This window comes from Homo sapiens, chromosome 8, assembly GCF_000001405.40.
Source record: "Homo sapiens chromosome 8, GRCh38.p14 Primary Assembly".
Lineage (NCBI taxonomy): Eukaryota > Metazoa > Chordata > Mammalia > Primates > Hominidae > Homo > Homo sapiens.
Window position 1 is genome coordinate 130,127,119 of NC_000008.11, and position 19,004 is coordinate 130,146,122.

At 41.9% G+C, this 19,004-nt stretch overlaps 1 protein-coding gene across 24 annotated transcripts in view, besides 1 other annotated feature; it reads right to left on the reverse strand.

Moving 5' to 3' along the window:
- ASAP1 (ArfGAP with SH3 domain, ankyrin repeat and PH domain 1) overlaps window positions 1–19,004 on the reverse strand; it is a 391,571-nt gene that overhangs the window by 75,015 nt on the left and 297,552 nt on the right. For all 24 annotated transcript variants that reach the window (XM_047421810.1, XM_047421806.1, XM_017013468.2 and 21 more), the window contains 3 exons: window positions 9,833–9,920; window positions 7,178–7,226; window positions 809–972 (listed from right to left, as the gene is read on the reverse strand). In XM_047421810.1, the coding sequence (XP_047277766.1) occupies window positions 809–972; window positions 7,178–7,226; window positions 9,833–9,920 (301 nt within the window). The remainder of the gene's footprint in view (window positions 1–808; window positions 973–7,177; window positions 7,227–9,832; window positions 9,921–19,004) is intronic.
- Window positions 15,744–15,853: an enhancer, noted in NCBI's record as "active region_27981". NCBI's record gives its function as "activates an Ori minimal core promoter by ATAC-STARR-seq in GM12878 lymphoblastoid cells {active_cell/tissue: GM12878}" and the evidence as "EXISTENCE:reporter gene assay evidence [ECO:0000049][PMID:35858748]".

Below are 19,004 nucleotides of genomic sequence, written 5' to 3' on the forward strand. Positions count from 1 at the left end.
GAAGGCGACTTCAATGTGATACAGAGGTGAGGGAAGGTGTGGCTGAGTAGGAAGGAAGGAAAATCATGTACCACATGTCAGTTGATTTCACATGCACCATTTCTTTTTTCTTTTTTTTGAGACAGTCTCGCTCTGTCGCCCAGGCTAGAGTGCAATGGTGCAATCTTGGCTCACTGCAACCTCTGCCTCCTGGGTTCAAATGATTCTTCTGCCTTATCCTCCCAAGTAGCTGGGATTACAGGTGCCCGCCACCTCGCCCAGCTAGTTTTTGTATTTTTAATAGAGATGGGGTTTCACCATGTTGGCCAGGCTGGTCTCGAACTCCTGACCTCAAGTGATCCGCCCGCCTCAGCCTCCCAAAGTGCTGGGATTACAGGCGTGAGCCACCGTGCCATAGCAAGAGGTTTACTGACCCATTTTTTAGGATAAGTAAACTACGAATCAGAATACTAAAGGGACTCAGTGTGAGATGGTCCAGGCTGGGAGTGGTGGACAGTGATACAAAATGTGGACCCCATGCCCCCTACTCTCTCCATAATGTCCATGGTGCTTATATACCTGGACCTTATAGGAAAGGTAGTATTTTGGCAGTGACACCTAGGAGAGCAAGAGGGGGCTTTCCAGGTAGAGAAAACAGCATAGGTAAAAGCAGCTCAGCGGTAGGAAAAATCACGTTGGGAATACGTGTTTTGTGTGTGTATGTGAGTGTGTCCATAGGGGTTAAGGTTTTTCAATAACTAGATCGTTTTATATTCTACAGGAAGAGAAAGGATGTTGTAAAAGCTCGTTCAAATATGGGGACAAAAACCTGATGAGCCACAATCGCAGCAAATGTCATTCCCTGGGAGCCGCTGGACATCCTCAATAATGGCTTTTGTCAGGTCTTCCAGGCTGTTCTCTCCCGCACTCTGCTCTCCACGGAAGGCCATGGTTAGGGCCTCTTCTTTGCTATTTGTCAATACTGATATCCATCTGTTGGTAAAAACATAAGAGGAAAAAAGTCTTTATAAGAGCATGGTCATTTTTTTTTTTTTTTTTTTTTTTTTGCCACTGCAAAAAAAAAAAATCTACTTTTGTCAAGTAATTCCAAAAGAGAAGCCCCCTTCCAAAATAGCAATAAAGTGAGGAAAAACAAAGAAATCAAACTTGAAGGAAGGTGAGAGTTAAAGAATGAAAAATGACACATAGGGGAAAATGAGAGAGAGGAGAGGAGCAGATGAGAAAAGTAAAAAATCAATATAACTGAGGACTTGAACGAATATACAAGGAGACTGCATTTCCGTGTGGGCATACTGAATAAAGGGAATGTTGGAATGGAGAGGACTCAATGAGGGACCCATCCAATGCAAGGATGAGAAAGAAATGATGAGAAATGGAGAGGAGCCAGGAAAAGGAGTTTAGCAAAAGGTATGTATTTTCTGCAAGTCCATGTCAGTGGGGACACTTAACAGTGAAAATGAAGGGATATTTCATTAGCAGCCATAAAAATTTATACTTATGAAAAAGGCATATTAACATGGAAACATGATGACATTTATAATATTAAATGAAGACTGCAGATTTACTTATATACAGTATGACTACTGTATGTCCCAAACAAAATAACCCTTTGCTACTAAAATAACCTAGAAACCCAACAACAGAGAGTTGATTAACTAGGCCTGAAATAACCACAAAGTAGAACAGTTAAGCAGGCATTAAAGTGTACATTTTCAAATAATTTTTGGGTGACATTGGATAAATGCTCATAATATAGTGTTTTGTGAAATCAACAACAAAAAAACCTATTATATGATTGATATGGTTTGGATTTGTGTCCTCACCCAAATCTCATCTTGAATTGTTATCCCCATAATCCCCACGTGTCTGGGGAGAGACCCGTGTAGGAGGTGATTGGATCAAGGTGGCGGTTTCCCCCATGCTGTTCTCATGATAGTGAGTGAGTTGAGATCTGATGGTTTTATAAGGGGCTCTTCCCTCTTTGCTCCACACACTTCTCTCTCCTGCTGCCATGTGAAGAAAGACATGTTTGCTGCCCTTCCACCATAATTGTAAGTCTCCTGAGGCCTCCCCAGCCATGTGGAACTGTGAGTCAATTAAACTTCTTTCCTTTATAAATTACCCAGTCTACAGTATTTCCTTATAGCAGTGTGAGAACGGGCTAATAGAATGATATAATCCCAAATTTAAATATATGTATGTAATAAAGGCTAAAAGGAATTTCACAAATACGTCAATAGTGGTTGTCTCTGAGTGATTTTCTATAGAAAACAACTGATAGAGGAATTGCCCGACTTTGTGCCTTTCTATAATTTTTCAAAACTATAATGAACTTGTATTACTTTCATGAATGAGAAAAAAGCCAAATTTATTTTCTAAAAAGAAAATAAAAAACATTTCCAAACCAGTGTTAATTTTTTGTTACTATATAGACAGCTAATGTTTATTCTCAACAGACAATACAGAGGTTCAGAACTGAGTCTCTCATTTTTTTGTATATCGTTGAATGAAATGGATATGAAACAAAGCACTATACAAAAGACTTTGAATAAGCAATAGTGACAGCATAAGAATTAAAAACCAAATTATGTTTTTGGAGTATGTGAACTATGCAAGTCACACCTTTGACTCTAGGTGGCGCTCACCTTCAGTATGTTGGGAGAAACGCATATACACAGCTTAACTTCTGTGATGCAGAAAACTGAACATTTCAAAACCAAGAGTCTAGGAATTCATATGCAGAAGGAATGGGGGGATTTTATACCTTTTAGAAGATTAAAACAGTATTTTTTATATCAGTCTGAAGTTAGAAACTAGAAATTGTTTTGTTAAAAACAAATCAAGAACCTGGGTTCAACAGGACTGATTACTGCATTTTATCAGCGGCACTGATGTTACTGGATTTTTCACTTGACTGCAAAGCCTCTATTTCGCTTTCCTCAGGCATTCTAGCATTTGGCTAATATTGGCCAGTATCTACTATGTACCAAATACTTACAATTTTTAACATATAGATTGAACACCCCAAATTTGAAATCCAAAAAAGTTGTGGGCCCAAGCATTTCAAATAAGGGATACTCAACCTGTAGAATCTTCTCACATGCCTCTAAGTTAGGGTTTATAATACTTTATAGATGAGGAAACTGAAGTTATATGACTTGCCTAAGGTTCTAGGCTGGATTCTGTCAGACCAGATGGGGATAAGAAAACACTTTTGTTGACTCACTTTTTCAGAGTTCCTTCCATTTGCCTCTTTACTCAGGAGCTCATGACAAATAAATAAAGAAGTTTGTCATGATAATCAGAAAAAGTATATTTAAAGGATAATTTTCTAGAGAAAATAATTCAAATTTGGTGGAATGAAATGGCTAAATTTCAAAAGGACCAAGACTCACAGTGATCATTTGTGACATTAACTTTTAAATTATTTTCAAGTAACAAGCATACTCAAAAGCATAAAGAATGCATAATTGTATTTTAATACTTTAAACGTCGCTTTGAGTTTTATAAGATAAAAAATAACTTGGCACTGTGCTAAGGGCTTTACATAGCTTATCCTCTCAAAATCCTGCAATCGAGGTATATAATCCCATCTTACTGATGAGAAGACTGAAGCCAGATGATCTGCCTAAGGTTAAAAAGCCACTAACCACCATAGTGCACGTATGTAGTCCCAGCTACTGGGGAGGCTGAAGCGGGAAGATCGCTCTAGCCTAGGAGTTCAAGTCCAGCCTGGGCAACATAGATCTCATTTTAAAAAAAAAAGCCACGCTCACGCCTGTAAGCCCAGCACTTTGGGAGGCCAAGGCGGGCAAATCACGAGGTCAGGAGATCGAGACCATCCTGGCTAACACGGTGAAACCCCATCTCTACTAAAAACACAAAAAAATTAGCCAGGCGTGGTGGCACGCGCCTGTAGTTCCAGGTACTCGCGAGGCTGAGGCAGCAGAATTGCTTGAACCCGGGAGGCATAGGTTGCAGTGAGCCGAGATCGCGCCACTGCACTCCAGCCTGGGCGACAGAGCAAGACTCTGAAAACAAACAAACAAACAAACAAACAAACAAACAAACAAAAAAGCCACTAGCCAGCAGAGCCTGGACAAGAAGCCAAATGAGTCTAACATGCATCTGCTCTTTGTGAACTTTCCTCAGTGAGAAGAAATTTTTTCATTCAATTTCATCGAACACTTTCATATGAAAAATAAACTCAATGATGCAGTGAAACTGCCTCTATGTAACCTGGAGGTAAGTGAAGAACTAAGGCTTCCCTCTGAGGCATGTGCTTTCTTTGTGGACTGCCATTACCTCCTACAGCACTCAAAACAAAGTTCCCCTCTCACCACCAGCACCCAGAGAGAATGCAGGCTGGGCACTATAGCTCACGCCTGTAATCCCAGCACTTTCTGGGGTCGAGGTGGGAGGATGGCTTGAGCTCAGGAGTTTGAGGCCAGCCTGGGTAACAACAGCAAGACCTCATGGCTACTGAAAAAAAAAAAAAAAAAAAAAAAAAAAGAAATGAAAATTAGCTGGGCGTGGTGATGCGTGCTTATAGCACTAGCTACTTGCAAGGCTGCGACAGGAGGATCACCTGAGCCTGGGAGACTGAGGACTGAGGCTGCAAGTGAGCTATAATCACGCCACTGCACTCCAGCATGTGTGACAGAGTGAGACCTTGTCTCAGAAACAAAACAAAACTGCAAAGTGCAAAATGCGCAACTTCAGGGTGGGCCATGTAATTCTTTTACTGAAAAATGTTAAGTCTCACGGGCAGGACACCAATCTCTTAACAAAACTGGGACTGAATTACCTGTAAGTTCTAAGAGTAAATAAAATATTGAAGATCTGAGTTTGAGTCATAAGGGAACAAACAGAAAGTGGTTGTGTTCCCTGCCTCACCCAAATTACTCACCTGTGTTTCACTTAGGGTTTTGAGAAAGGGAAATGAGGAAGAGAGAATGAAATCGGAGAAGGAGAAACAATATTCCAAGGTGACTGTGGAATTCTATCTGGGTTCAAATCCTAGCTTACTAGGACTGTTACCATGGGCACATTGTGCCTCTGTTTCCTCATTTGCAAACTAGGGACAAAAGTCCCTACTTTCTGGGGTTGTGAGGATTAATAAGACATGAAGTGCATTTAGCACGTAACATCTCAATAACTATTACCCATTTTTATTATAAATAGTACCTCTCTGAACCTGTGGGTGGAGGGCCAGGCCTCTGACTTCCTCCTCATTGACTTCTAGTCACCTTTCAGTCTACCAACTCTATACCCATAACAACAAGTCATCAATCACTTCCTTCCTATTCCATCCTCCTGTTTCTGTGCCATCAGAGCCTCCTGCCTGGAGTATAGAGTATTTACAACCTTCCCCTACGTTCCTGAGCCAGCTCAGCCTTACCTTCCTCTTGGAAGTCATCTCTGAGGAACAACCCCAGGAAACCATGAGGGTGTGTGCCCCGAGTCTATTCCTCCAGCACATGGCCTCCTCTGTCCTTACACTTAGCACCTGCACCATGTCGTACCAACAGCCTCCTGCAGTAGAGATGCAGTTCCTTCAGGGCAGGGGCTCCATCTAATTTAATGTTGTATTCTCAAGGCTTTGCATAGCCTTGGCATACAGCTGGCATTCATTAAATATTCAAATAATGAATAGCTAATTAGACCTTTCTCATCCTTTTCCTTTGTCTTTCTACCTTCTCTCTCAGTTTTCTTTCCCCACCCTGTTCCTCCCACCTCTGTATCTTTTCTACCCATGTTCTCTTCTCTTTCTGATCCTTTATCATTTCTCCTTTGAAATGGGAAAAGAGTAAAATTCCCCAGAGAAGATTGTGTGTGTGAGCAATAACAAAAGTAAGCGAGTGGGAGAGAGAAAAGAAGTGAGTATAAGGCAAAAAGGGTATGAGCAGAATTCTGTGGCTCTCCAGAAATAAGAGAGGAACATAGCATGTATTCTGTGCCACTGATGGGACAGGAAGTTTGACAGTTTATAAAACTCGGTCCAAATTACCCCAAGTACTCATTAGAAATAAAAAAAAAAAAAGTGAACAATAATTGCCCATTTTAACAAAAACATCCCTCTCCCAAGCAGCTGAGATTTATAATAGTCACACACTGCCTTTTTCCGTCTAGACAGGCTACAGGAAAGAAGAGGGAATAAAGACAGCTCAGGACCAGGGCTAGCATTTTAAAAAAGGGACTAGGGACTATCTAAGGTTGCATACCTGGTCAGGTGAGTGCAAAACTCCAACCCAGGGGCCGGGCGCGGTGGCTCACGCCTGTAATCCCAGCACTTTGGGAGGCCGAGGCGGGTGGATCATGAGGTCAGGAGATCGAGACCATCCTGGCTAACAAGGTGAAACCCCGTCTCTACTAAAAATACAAAAAATTAGCCGGGCGCGGTGGCGGGCGCCTGTAGTCCCAGCTACTCGGGAGGCTGAGGCAGGAGAATGGCGTGAACCCGGGAAGCGGAGCTTGCAGTGAGCCGAGATTGCGCCACTGCAGTCCGCAGTCCGGCCTGGGCGACAGAGCGAGACTCCGTCTCAAAAACAAACAAACAAACAAACAAACAAAAAAAAAAACAAAAAACTCCAACCCAGGAGTATGTGATACCAACCTGTTCCTTTCCACTATATCACGCTCCCTTTTATTGACTCTGTTCACCCCAGTGAAAGGCACATGGCAGTTTCCTTCCTTCAGGGCCTGGCTCACCTGCTCCTCTTACAATAATGGTCAAGTGCCCAGGTAGGCTGGCTGATATGTTTGGCCACCAAAAACTGAGCAAAGGCCCCTCCTGAGGGCAAGGGATGTGATTAAAAGATGCATAAGGCACGGTCCTTGCCCTCGAAAAGCTCTTGGTCTCTAAAGGGCTGCAGACATGCACCACAGGATCACAGAAGGTTATGAAGAGGCCGCGGGCAAGGAGTAGTGAGCTATAACCCCAGAGAGGGTGAGGCTTGAGCAGAATCTTGCAGGAGGTACCAGAGCTTATTGAGTAGACAAGAGGGAGAACCACAGACAGAGAGAAGAGCAACATGTGATGGCCCACAGGCGGGAAAGAAGCATGGAGCCACCAGGCGAGGTTCTTACAAATGAAAAGAAAATGTTGATGTGTATTGTAAACAGAGAGGTGCTTTTTCAATCCAAGGCATCGCACCTTTATTTCAAAACTACTTACGCTACATAATCCTGCTCATCTTCTGCCTGAAAGTGATATGTTCTATTATCTAAAATAAAAAAAAAGAAAAATAAGTGAAACCTTAGAAAGCAGGGTACTTTCAGGTACAACACAGATTTAAGTTCCTGGGAAGAAAACCAGTAAAAGTAGAATTTTAATATTATTTTAGTTTTACGCCATTATGTGCCAGGTGCCTTGTGTATATTATTGCTAATCTTCACAAAAGCTCTATCTGTTTCTCATATTTTTACAGAAAAAAAAACTGAGGCTCCAAGAGGTTCAGTGACTTACACAAGGTCACACGGCAATAAAACAGCTACATGATTCATTCTGTCGAGGTTATTCTTCTTAAGTGCAACAAGAATACAATAAAATAACCACAAATACCATGCATACATCTGGCACTGCTTTTGAATAAACAGTGAGGAGAGGGGAAGGTCCTATTTGATCCAAATGGATTTCCATGACAAACTGGAGAGTGCCAGCTAATTCAGTATTTTCTGTTTCATTTTCAATTCAATTGTTACTGTGTTTTCTTTTTTTTTAAAGAAATCTCCTTTTCAGAAATGATTCATTTACTGTTCCCTATTTGTTCTGAGACTTAACCATGGGGTAGCCCCAACACCCCCAACACTAGACATACTATGCCCCAGATGTTGGGGCTGCTCTCTGGCTGAATCAGGTTGCAGGAAGAAAGGCTCAATCTCTGCTATCCATGTAAGGGAAGGAGTGGGAAGGAGTGACCTAACTTGGATACTTTGGGCTGGATGTACATGAGGGAAGCTCTTTCTCAATATATTCAGGTCAAACTAACATATCCTGAGCACTTCCTGTGTGACTACTCTAGGCTAGGCAGTCACACCCTTCATCTCTCTTGGAGAGAGAGACAATGTGTATGTCAAAGAACATACCATGCTTAATGTTACAGCTCATGGCTATAATCCTAACACTTTGGGAGGTTGAGGTAGGAGGACTGCTTAAGCCTAGGAGTTCGAGACCAGCTTCAGCAACAGAGACCCTGCCTCTAGACAAAAAATTAAAAATCAGCCAGATGTGGTGGCATGCACCTGTGGTCCCAGCTACTTGGGAGGGTGAAGCAGGATCACTAGAGCCCAGGAGGTTGAGGCTGCAGTGAGCTGCGACTGAACCACTGCACTGCAGCCTGGGTGACAGAGTGAGACCCTGCCTCAAAAACAAAAAACAAAACAAAAAAAACCCAAAACAAAACAAAACAAAAAAAAGAACATGCCATGGGTGGCAGAGCCTGAGAGCTTTGGTTGAATCTCTGCTTTATTGCTGTGTGACCTTCTGTAGGTCACTGAACCTCTTGGAGTCTGAGTTTTTTCTTCTGTAAAATGGAAAACTGATAGGGCTTTCATGAGGATTAGCACTAATGTATATAAGGCACCTGGCATGTAACAGATGCTCTATAACTGCCAACTATTATTAATAACCTACAGACTCTCATAACTAGGGGTTTTTGGCTTTTTGAAGTCATAAAATAATTCCAAATTTTCCTATTTCTTTCTCATCAATAACTCAATAAATCTCTTGGTCATGAAAATCACAGGGAATCTAAACTTCATACAGATGCTGCAGAATACAGTTTCGACTACCCCTAAAGAGCCTCATGACTGACTCTATCTTTTGGGTCAGGACTATTCACACAACTGCATCAGAAAGGTTTCAAAGGGCAAGAAAATATTTCTGTGCTTCTATACATAGATCATCCACTTTGGCTGTGGGTCTGCCTTGCTGGGCTGTGATAGAGAAGGAAGGATACTTAAGATTAGTGTTGCAGGATTTCAGGATATTCACGAGAGTCACTTCAATGGCACTGTCATCCTCTCTTTACAAAGAGGAGTCCTCTCAGCTACAGTGTGGGTCGGTAAGCACACCCATAGGAATCAGTACAAGCACAGGTAGCCAGCCTAAAGGAACATCTCCCCCCAACTCTTTACACACTATGAGGGCACAGGCTATAACAGGCTGTGGGGTGGGTAGCTCATTACGCTCTCTCATCACAAGAGAAAAGCAAACTCTGAACCATGAAGTAGAAGAGTGACAGGGTGCAGTGCCATCAATTCACAGAGGTTGAAGGCAGTTCTGCTTGGAAGCAAGGAAATGATTTTTCCTTTAAGAGCTAGATTTTGCAGGGATATAACTCTGGGCAAATTCGTTGTACAGATATAGTGGCACATCTGCATTCCCAAGTCTACATCCGTGCTTCTTAACCACAGGTGCACATTACAATCACCTAGTGGCTTTTTTTTTTTTTTTAAACTATGTCTGGGCCTCATACCAACAACTATAATTCAGTAGATCTAAGACAGAAATGGGAATATACTAAGAAACATCTCTCCAAGGGGATAAAGCTGTGTACTCACAGTCAAGCATTGGTTTAGTTCAATGTACAAATCCTAGATTCTATTCTATTGCTGGTCAGATCTGACACTGCTATGCCTTGTCAACTGCAGGTGGGCTCAGTGGAAATTAAGAGACCTGGGGCATCTTCCTAGAGCAGCACATGCAGGAATAACTGTTCCAATGCCAACTGTGAGGAGCCCTGCTTGGAAAAGCTGCTGACCTGGAGAATGGAAATGTGCAGGTGTCAGAAGCCACAATAACCAACTCAGAGAGAGAAAAAGGACTCACGTGATATCAGGTCAAAAGATTTTTTGTCTTCGGCATTAGGTTTTACTTGGCAGGTGAGAAGGTTCAACTTGGCTGGTTGCCTGTTAGACTGGAAAAAAAGAGAAAATGGAGAAGTTACATGCAGCTCCACTCTCTTGTCTGCAGGTTCAGTGCCCTGTAGGGCAGGTATGCTGTTCATAAGGCCTGCTCAGTGGTACAAAAATACATTTTCAGCAAAGAAGAAACAGACATCTGAGCATTGTTCCAAGTTTGCTGCAAGAAGACAACAGATCTGTAGGTTTCTGCCCTCAAATATAAGCTGGTAAGTTTAGTAAAGTTTTATTTATCCCAGTTGAATTCTGAATCTCATTAAAGATGGAAAAAAAAATTAGGTGTCCTACTAAATGTCTTTAAACTGTGCATAAATATCCTGGTGATTTTTCAGAAGAGAATAAAAAAATAATCCACCTCACTTCCAATGAACAGTCGGCATGGTCCATGGAAATGCACCTTTCTGGAACCTACCCATAACTAAGCACCAACAGTTGGCACTTTTAATGCTGTATCTTACTATGAAATGTAGCTGAGCTATATTTCATTTATTCATTCAAAATGACCCCGGTAATCAATCATCCCCAAATTGATCTCCCAGGTATCCATGGATTCAACAAATTTTGGTTGTGATGCAAAATTTACATTACTTCTCTCAGAAGTACAATGACAATTACTACCTGTGAGGCAATGCTTAATGAACCCCAATATCTGGGGAGAGAGAAAATTTGATAAGGATTTCATATAACTTATCAGCAAATCTCTTGGTCACACATATAAAACAGACCCTATAGTATCTAGATAGTCACGCTAACTTAGGAAGTCTCACCACGTATTCACACTGGTCAAAACACTCTCCTGCCTGCCCATGTTCAAGGTCACATGCTGGACAATGGCTGATACTAGGATCCCTCCTTCCTGCAGAAGCTGACCAAGGAATGAAATGTTTGAGTGCCCAGGCTGGGCTGTGCTCGAACACGAGAAGCCTGGAGAAATAAGCAATGAAACTCTTTAATTGGACCTATATCCCTGTTTCGATTGAGAGCTGTGGTTCTGAAAATCCTAGTACCAGGTGCATCTCCAGCTGAGGAATTAAAATTTTCAGGGAAAAGAGAGGGGGAGGGAGTTAGAGACAAGTCACATCAGTAAGCCTGAAACAACAGAGATGGCATACAATCAAGACACCTTCAATGACACACTGCCACCTCTCCTTCTAAATAATGGGCATTAAACAATTTCTATTTATCTTCCTGTGCTCTCTGGACCATTTTTCAAGATCTTTCTCCCTCTATGATTTCAATGAGATTAAACATAGAAAACAATGCCCTTTGTCCCATATCTATCTATTCCAAAGCGAACTGCTTTAGGGGAGGAAGTGAGAGACCCCAGGGGATTCCATGTTCAATGCATGTACCTTTGATTTAGGAATGGAACCAGAAGTCAAGTACAAGAGAATTTTGCCAAAGAGGAAACAGTGCTTGGGAAGATTCCTGTACTCCAGAACTTGTCACCAAACCTAGAAGGGGAGGCAGGAGCTTGTGGGCCTGCAAGTTTTTCTGAGAAAACAGCTGAAGAGCCAGACGAGGTGGCTCATGCCTGTAATCCCAGCACTTTGAAAGGCTGAGGTGGGTGGATCACCTGAGGTCGGGAGTTCCAGACCCGCCTGATCAACATGGAGAAACCCTGTCTCTACTAAAAATACAAAATTAGCCGGGCGTGGTGTCGGGTGCCTGTAATCCCAGCTACTCGGGAGGCTGAGGCAGGAGAATCGCTTGAACTTGGGAGGTGGAGGTTGCACTGAGCCGAGATCTCGCCACTGCACTCCAGCCTGGGCAACAAGAGTGAAACTCCGTCTCAAAAAAAAAAAAAAAAAAGAAAACAGCTGAAGTGTTTGGGTTGCTAAAGGCCTCAGACTCCAAAATCAGAATCTGTAGCCACGAAGCAGGCTTAGCTCACTGTAAAAAGAACTGTTAGTTCTACATCTCATCTTTTTGGATGTTGATAAAATTGCTGACTTTCTCATATAAATGACAATGGCATATGACCACCTGAAAAGGCAGTGACCCAGTTAATGGTGAGAACAACTCTTGCTACGATATTATGTTCCAATTAGGAAACCACATTTAAAGAAGGATGCAGAAAAGCTTGGGGAGATGAAGAGATGATTGAAAGGGTGGAAAATGGAAACTCTGAAGATGAGTTAGAGGCATTACTTAGTACAGAGGAGGGAAAGCTAGGGGGTGACTTAATGACCATCTTCAAGTATATGAAGGTTGTTATTGGGAAGGTTGGGCAGCTGTTTTCCATTAGCTCAGATGAAAAGAAATACACTCCAATTGCAGAAGATTTGGGCCAGAAATAAGGAAGAACTTCCCAAGCTTAAGTTGATTATGCATAATAAGAGGTTTCAGGTTTCTTAAGTAGAGAAGGACTGCCTTTGAAAAATTTAATAATTTTTAAGCTGACCAGGCGTGGTGTCTCATGCCTGTAATCCCAGCACTTTGGGAGGCTGAGGCAGGCGGATCACCTGAGGCCTGGGGTTCAAGACCAGCCTGGCCAACGTGGCGAAACCCCGTTGTCTCTACTGAAAATACAAAACTTAGCTAAGCATGACGGCGCATGCCTGTAATCCCAGCTACTCAGGAGGCTAAGGCAGGAGAATCACTTGAGCCTGACAGGTGGAGGCTGCTGTAAGCCAAAGTCACGCCATTGCACTCCAGCCTGGGCAACAGGGTGACAGAGCAAGACTCCATCTCAAAAAAACAAACAAACAAAAAACAAAAAAAAAAAGAAAAAGAAAAATTTAGTAATTTTTAGACACTATTCACATTTGAATGTGACAGAAGGTTAACTTTATTTTTTAATTCTCCCAAAATCTAGATTTCTCCGGTGTTTCTGAACAATCTTACCAACAGATACAACCAAGAGTAGATACAAATCTTAAAAAAAAAAAAACAACAAAAAAACACCATACACTCAGCTGAGTATTAACTGCATTCAGGCAAGTTAAACAGCACTATTTACCTCTCATTTCTTTCTTTTTCTTTCTCCTTTTTGTTTTTTTTTTTTTGAGATAGGGTCTCGCTTTGTCGGCCAGGCTAGAGTGCACTGGGGTGATCATAGATCACTGCAGTCTCAACCTCCTAGGCTCAAGCGATCCTCCCACCTCAGCCTCCCAAGTAGCTGGGACTATGGATGCACACCATCACACCTGGTTATTACTATTTTTTTTTGGTATTTTTAGTGGAGACAGTCTCTCCATGTTGCCCAGGCTGCTCTTAAACTCCTGAGCTCAAGTGATCTGTCAGCCTCAAGTGAGATTATAGGCGTGAGGCACCATGCTGGCCTCAGGTCTCAGCTCTCATTTCTTTCTTTCTTTCTTTTTTTTTTAAAAAAAAACTTTTAGGTTTGGGGGTACATGTGAATGTTTATTATGTAGGTAAACATGTGTCACAGGGGTTTGTTGTACGTATTATTTTATCATCCAGGTATTAGGCCAAGTACCCAATAGTTACCTTTTCTGCTCCTTTCCCTCCTCCCATCCTCCTCACCTCTCATTTCTAAGCACGGACTATTTCAAAGTATTTTGCTGATAAGGAATTTATATGGTTTAAGTCATTCCATGATTGACCCACAACTTCAGTGGTGATGACGTTATGATGTTTATTCTCTTAGAAGTTTGCCAAATCTACTAGACTGACTTTTGCTACATTAACATGAACTGCATTTGACACAGGCACATCTTGCCTAAACATAGTGCTCTTCTCCAAACTGAGCTGCCAGTGAGGCACTTGACAAATGGCCATCATCCCAAATGTGACTTTGAGGAGCCAAGTACGCATAAGTTTTGACTGTCTAAGCAGCTGACTTACCCAGGGCTGAGCCCACGAATACCAGAGGGGAGTGGTATGTTCCACAGAAGTCCAAAAACCAAGGCATTTGAAGCACAGAAATCACTACAGTAATAATTGTAACTTCAGATGTTTGTGTAACTTTCCAAAATTTCAAAGCACTTTCTTGACATTTAGTACTAATTTATAGGTATATTGATTGGAGACTGTATAATCTTTCCTGGGATTTCAGCAGACTAAAATTAAAGTAAAACTAAATGATTTACTCTGGGCTACACCACAGTGGAACAGTTTAGGAAATGCTTTCATATTGTTTAAGTACAGGAGAGAAAAAAGAAAACAAAACAGGAGAAACTCTGGAAACGTCTATGTATCTATTGAGTCCTTGCTGTTGATTCCCATCCTGTTCAGAATAAACACACATCTGTGCCATGACCTCCAGGCACCAATCGCAGGCCCCTTCTCGCACTCAGCTCCTGTCACTCTGAGTTGTTCCTTTGGCTGAGGAGGGGCACTGGTCCCTCCTGCTGCTCACACACTCCTGCAGGCCCTCGGAGAGCTCCCTGCTCACTCCCTGCAGAACTCTCATCAATCAGCACCTCCTCAGAGGAGGCGGTACCTGGCCTGACCACCTCCCCATGATGTTCCATTTTTGTACACCCTGCTGTATTTTCTTTCTGGCTCTTAACACTCCTTATTTGCTTCCTGTCTTCCTTCTCACTAAGGACACACACATTTTTCTCATTAAAATGTGCTTGGCACACATCGGGTACTAGCAAGATCATGGCTCATGGCAGCCTTGACCTCCCAGGCGAAGTGATTGTCCTACCTTAGCCTTCCCAGTAACTGGCACTATATGCGCACGCTACCACACGAGGCTAATTTTAAAAATATGTATTTTTTAGAGACAGGATTTCACTCTGTTGCCCAGGCTGGAATGCAGTGGCACAATCATGGCTCACTGCAGCCTTGAACTCCTGGGCTCAAGGCATCCTCCTGCCTCAGCCTCCCAAGTAGCTGGGACTACAGGCATGCCTCACCATGCTTGACTAATTTTTTAAATTTTTGTAGAGATGGGATCTTGGTTTGTTGCCCAGGCTGATCTTAAACTCCCGGCCTCAAGTGATCCTCCTGCCTCAGCCTCTCAAAGTGCTGAGATTATAGCCATGTACCACCGTGCCCAGCCCTCAATAAATATTTACTAAATTAATGACTACATTCCAGGCATCTTATGTCATATACTATCTCATGTACTACCTGTGAGGGAAGTCTTCAGTTTCTTTTACTAAGTGAAGAAATAAAGGCACAGAAAGGTTAAGTAACATTCCTAAGCTCTCCCGGTAAGAAAGTGGTTTGGATGGGTCAGAGCCCCCACTCCTTCTCTTCTGCGGTCACTCTGCAGTCCAGCCTGGAAAGAAAGTAATCTGATATAGCTCGGAGAATAACAGCTGGATGCCCAGCACACAAGAACATTTCCTCCTGATTACAGTAAGGGTTAGAGGTCAATGAAGCAAAAGCTCCAAAGATTAATTTCTATTTTAATATCTTCTTGGGTTATCTGACTCTCCTCTAAGTACTTACTTTCATAATTGGGGAAAAGAGAAATTTTAGAAGCCACTTTGAAATTCCTACTTACTCATTCATCATATATTTATTAAGTCTCTACCACATTCCAAGCACATCTGAGAAACACATGGTCCATGCCATTAAACATCTGTGGAAACAGACTTGATTACGTATGGGGGCCCAGGGAGCCCAGGGACCTGAGCTCAAGGGTGTGCACCAAAGATGTAGGCAAGGTTCCACACAGGCAGCCTCAACCTTCAGAGAGGACTTGGAGGAGGGAATATGGACAAACTGGGAAGTGTGATAAGCAGGTCCAAAGGCCTGGGGCATAGGAGGGGACAAGCTGCAGGAGGTGACACTGAGCACACAGGAAGGGAGACTCTGCATATGATACTAAGAAACTCACATTCCTATCCATGACTCTGGCAATCTACTGGAGAAAGCAGAGTGGCCAGTTAGATCTCTATTTCACGGTGGGGTGGTGGGGGGGCAGTTGGTGGGAAAGGTAGAGGAGGCAGAGAGAGGCTGAGAGAGTAAGGAAGATGAGCAATGAAATGAGGAGGGCCTGAATTAGAGCTACGTACGGTAGTGGTGCTGGTGGCCAGAGGCTTAAGACAGCTAGAAAAGGAGACTTTCAATGCATCATTCCACAAGTAATCATTACCTACTATGTGAATTATTCAGTGCAGAAATTTGAATGGTGAATGGAGGGACACATTGTTCCTGAAGGCTGTCTTGAGCAGCATCTCTTTCAAAAGCTACAAGAGCTTCTCTAAATATAGTTATGACACTTTTCAAAGCTGACAATTCTACAACTCTGTTCCTTCAAACTCTGAGGCTTGTCCTTTTATAGGTTTCACTTCTCATTAAAATAAAACACATTCATAGAAGAAAAGGAGACAGAGATAGTACAAAGAAGAAACCAAACATTAGTTGTTGGAATCTCACTTTCACATGCAGCAATAATCACTGTTAATACCTTAATTTTACCAAGATGTGTGTGTGAGATGTCTGTTTTTTTTTTTTTTGACATATGTTGGTTCAACTTGTATATACTATTTTGTAAACTGTTTTTCCCAATTAACAATATACACAGATGTCTTCATTTTACACACCCCTCTCCTACACACCCTCAGACAAAAGGCAAACCTATTCAAGTTTTTGATTTTTGAAAATGTTTCAATCAGGGAAGCTCTGGGTACATTTCATGAAGAGAAGTGATGAAGATATCCCTCTGACATAACAGAAAGTGGCTGTTTAGCTAGGAAAATCATCAAATAAGTAAGTAGAAATGCATGCAGAAACAGAATGAGTCAATCCCAATTAATGTTTCTGTGTTTCCTAAAAGAAAATAAACACCGCACATTTGTCTTTAGACAGCTTAGTGTGCACCATGGTTCCAGTGTTTTTGCTGGAAGTGTAAAGTTGTTAGCACAGGCATATTTCTCAGTTAGCAGAAAACAGCTGCTACTGGAATTAGTACCCAGAAATGAAATTATTTCCTCCCATCATCTTACTGAATTGCTCTGCTTTACAAACAAGAAGTGAACATTAATTACTTGGAAAATAGGCCTGACCCAGCCAGGATGAGGCTGACGCGTGGAAAGAGGTAAAAATAAAATGACAAAGCTCTCTTCACTTCCTATGCTAGTGTCTGAAAACAGAGCTGCTCAGACCATTATGGTCATTTCAAAGTTTTCATTCAATAAATAGTTTTTTAGACACCTACTGTGCCCTACAGGGACATATATTTTTGGCATACAATCAATAACTACAACCGTGGTAAGAAATTAAGGTACATGCTGAACACTTACCACTGCAGAGAGATCTTATCGCCAGAATTTTAGCAATCAAGACTATTGGCTTTTGGCCTTCCAAACAGATAAAAGGTAACAATTTTTTGAAAAACTGAGTACCTAAACTGCCAGATACATTATATGAATTCTATTATTTAATTTTTGCAATGACTCTATGAGTTAGGTACTGTTCCCAAACCCATTTCATAAATGAGGTAACCAAGGATCAGGAAGGTGAAGTAAACTAACCTATGTTTTACAAAAAATAAAAGGCAAAGCTGAATTCTGAACAAATCTCTTCTCACTTATCACACTGTTTCCCTGTCAAGCCAAGCCCTAGGAAAACTTACAAAGTCAGTCAAAATATAGCTTTACTGTTTTGCCTTTTCTGGTTCTTACTGCCCTTAAATGGCCAGTTCCCTCATCTTCCCTCCAGATGCACGTTCCAAATTCCAAACTTATTACTCTGTGGCCACAACTAAAGCTCTCACATCCCCTGTGTGATCCTTCAGACAGGGAAAAAGATAAGTAGTGATTATCTAACTGAAGTAATTCATTCTAGGGTAGATGGCTGAATTCCCTTAACCCTCCCAACCATTTTACTAATTTTTTTGTCAAACATTTATCACTGTATCTCCCAATCATTTTAATAAAGGGACTCATTTCCAGTTGGCAGAATGTATGTATATGTGAGAAAGAAATATTTGAAAATGGAGATCTCCAAGAAAATGTTTTTTATTGCAGCAAGGAATCGGTTACCTTACTTTTGAGAGGATGTTCCACTCAAATCAACATTAAACAATCAATGCTACAATGCAAATAGAAAAAAAGAGCTTACTGGGGCTCCTGCTAAGACGTGGCGCTGAGGTTACTGCACCCAATGAATGTGCTAGATAGTCATCCACGCAGGCATTTCTGCAAATATGTATTAAGTACCTACTATTTGATAGTATATAGAGTTTGGGCCAATACAGGAAGAATTTTTAAATTCACATTTCCTATTAATTTCAGTAGCCACTTTACGTCATGCTATCCAACAAGGGTACATAAAACTAAAACCTTCAGACTTGGAATATTTGTATAAAATGCATTAATTTGATAGTAAAACATCTGAGCTATGGCATATGTTTTTTTCTTTTTTTTAGACGGAGTCTCGCTCTGTTGCCCAGACTGGAGTACAGTGGTGTGATCTTGGCTTACTGCAACCTCTGCCTCCTGGGTTCAAGCGATTCTCCTGCCTCAGCCTCCCGAGTAGCTGGGATTACAGGCACGCGCCACCACACCCGGCTACTTTTCTGTATTTTTAGTAGAGACGGGGTTTCACCATGTTGGCCAGGCTGTTCTTGAACTCATGACCTCATGAATGGCTGAGACAAAATGTGCTTGAGGCTTTTATTAGCCTCACACAGAAAGGGCAGTCTTTAAAGCGAGGGCATCATTATGTTGATGAGAACACAGCATTTACTCATGCTGGGCTCCATGCCATATGTTTTACATATACTTGCTCACTTAATTCTGATAACCACCCTACAACTAAGTACCACTATTATTACTATTTGAGAGATGTGGAAAATAAGGCACCAAAAGGTTAAGTTAACTCAGCCTTAAGGTCACAGCTGTTAACAACAGAACATTAGGTCAAAGTAAAACTTTTTTTTTTTTTTTTGAGATGGGGTCTCACTCTGTCGCCCAGGGTGGGGTACGGTGGTGTGATCTCGGCTCATTGCAACCTCTGCCACATGGGCTTCAGTGATCCTCCTGCCTGAGCCTCCCAAGGAGCTGGTACAACAGGCATGTGCCACCATACCTGGCTAAGTTTTGTGTTTTTTTTTTTTTTTTTTAGAGATGGGGTTTTGCCACGTAGCCCAGGCTGGTCTCCAAGTCCTGGACTTAAGCCTCAAACTCCCAAAGTGCTGGGTTTACAGGTGA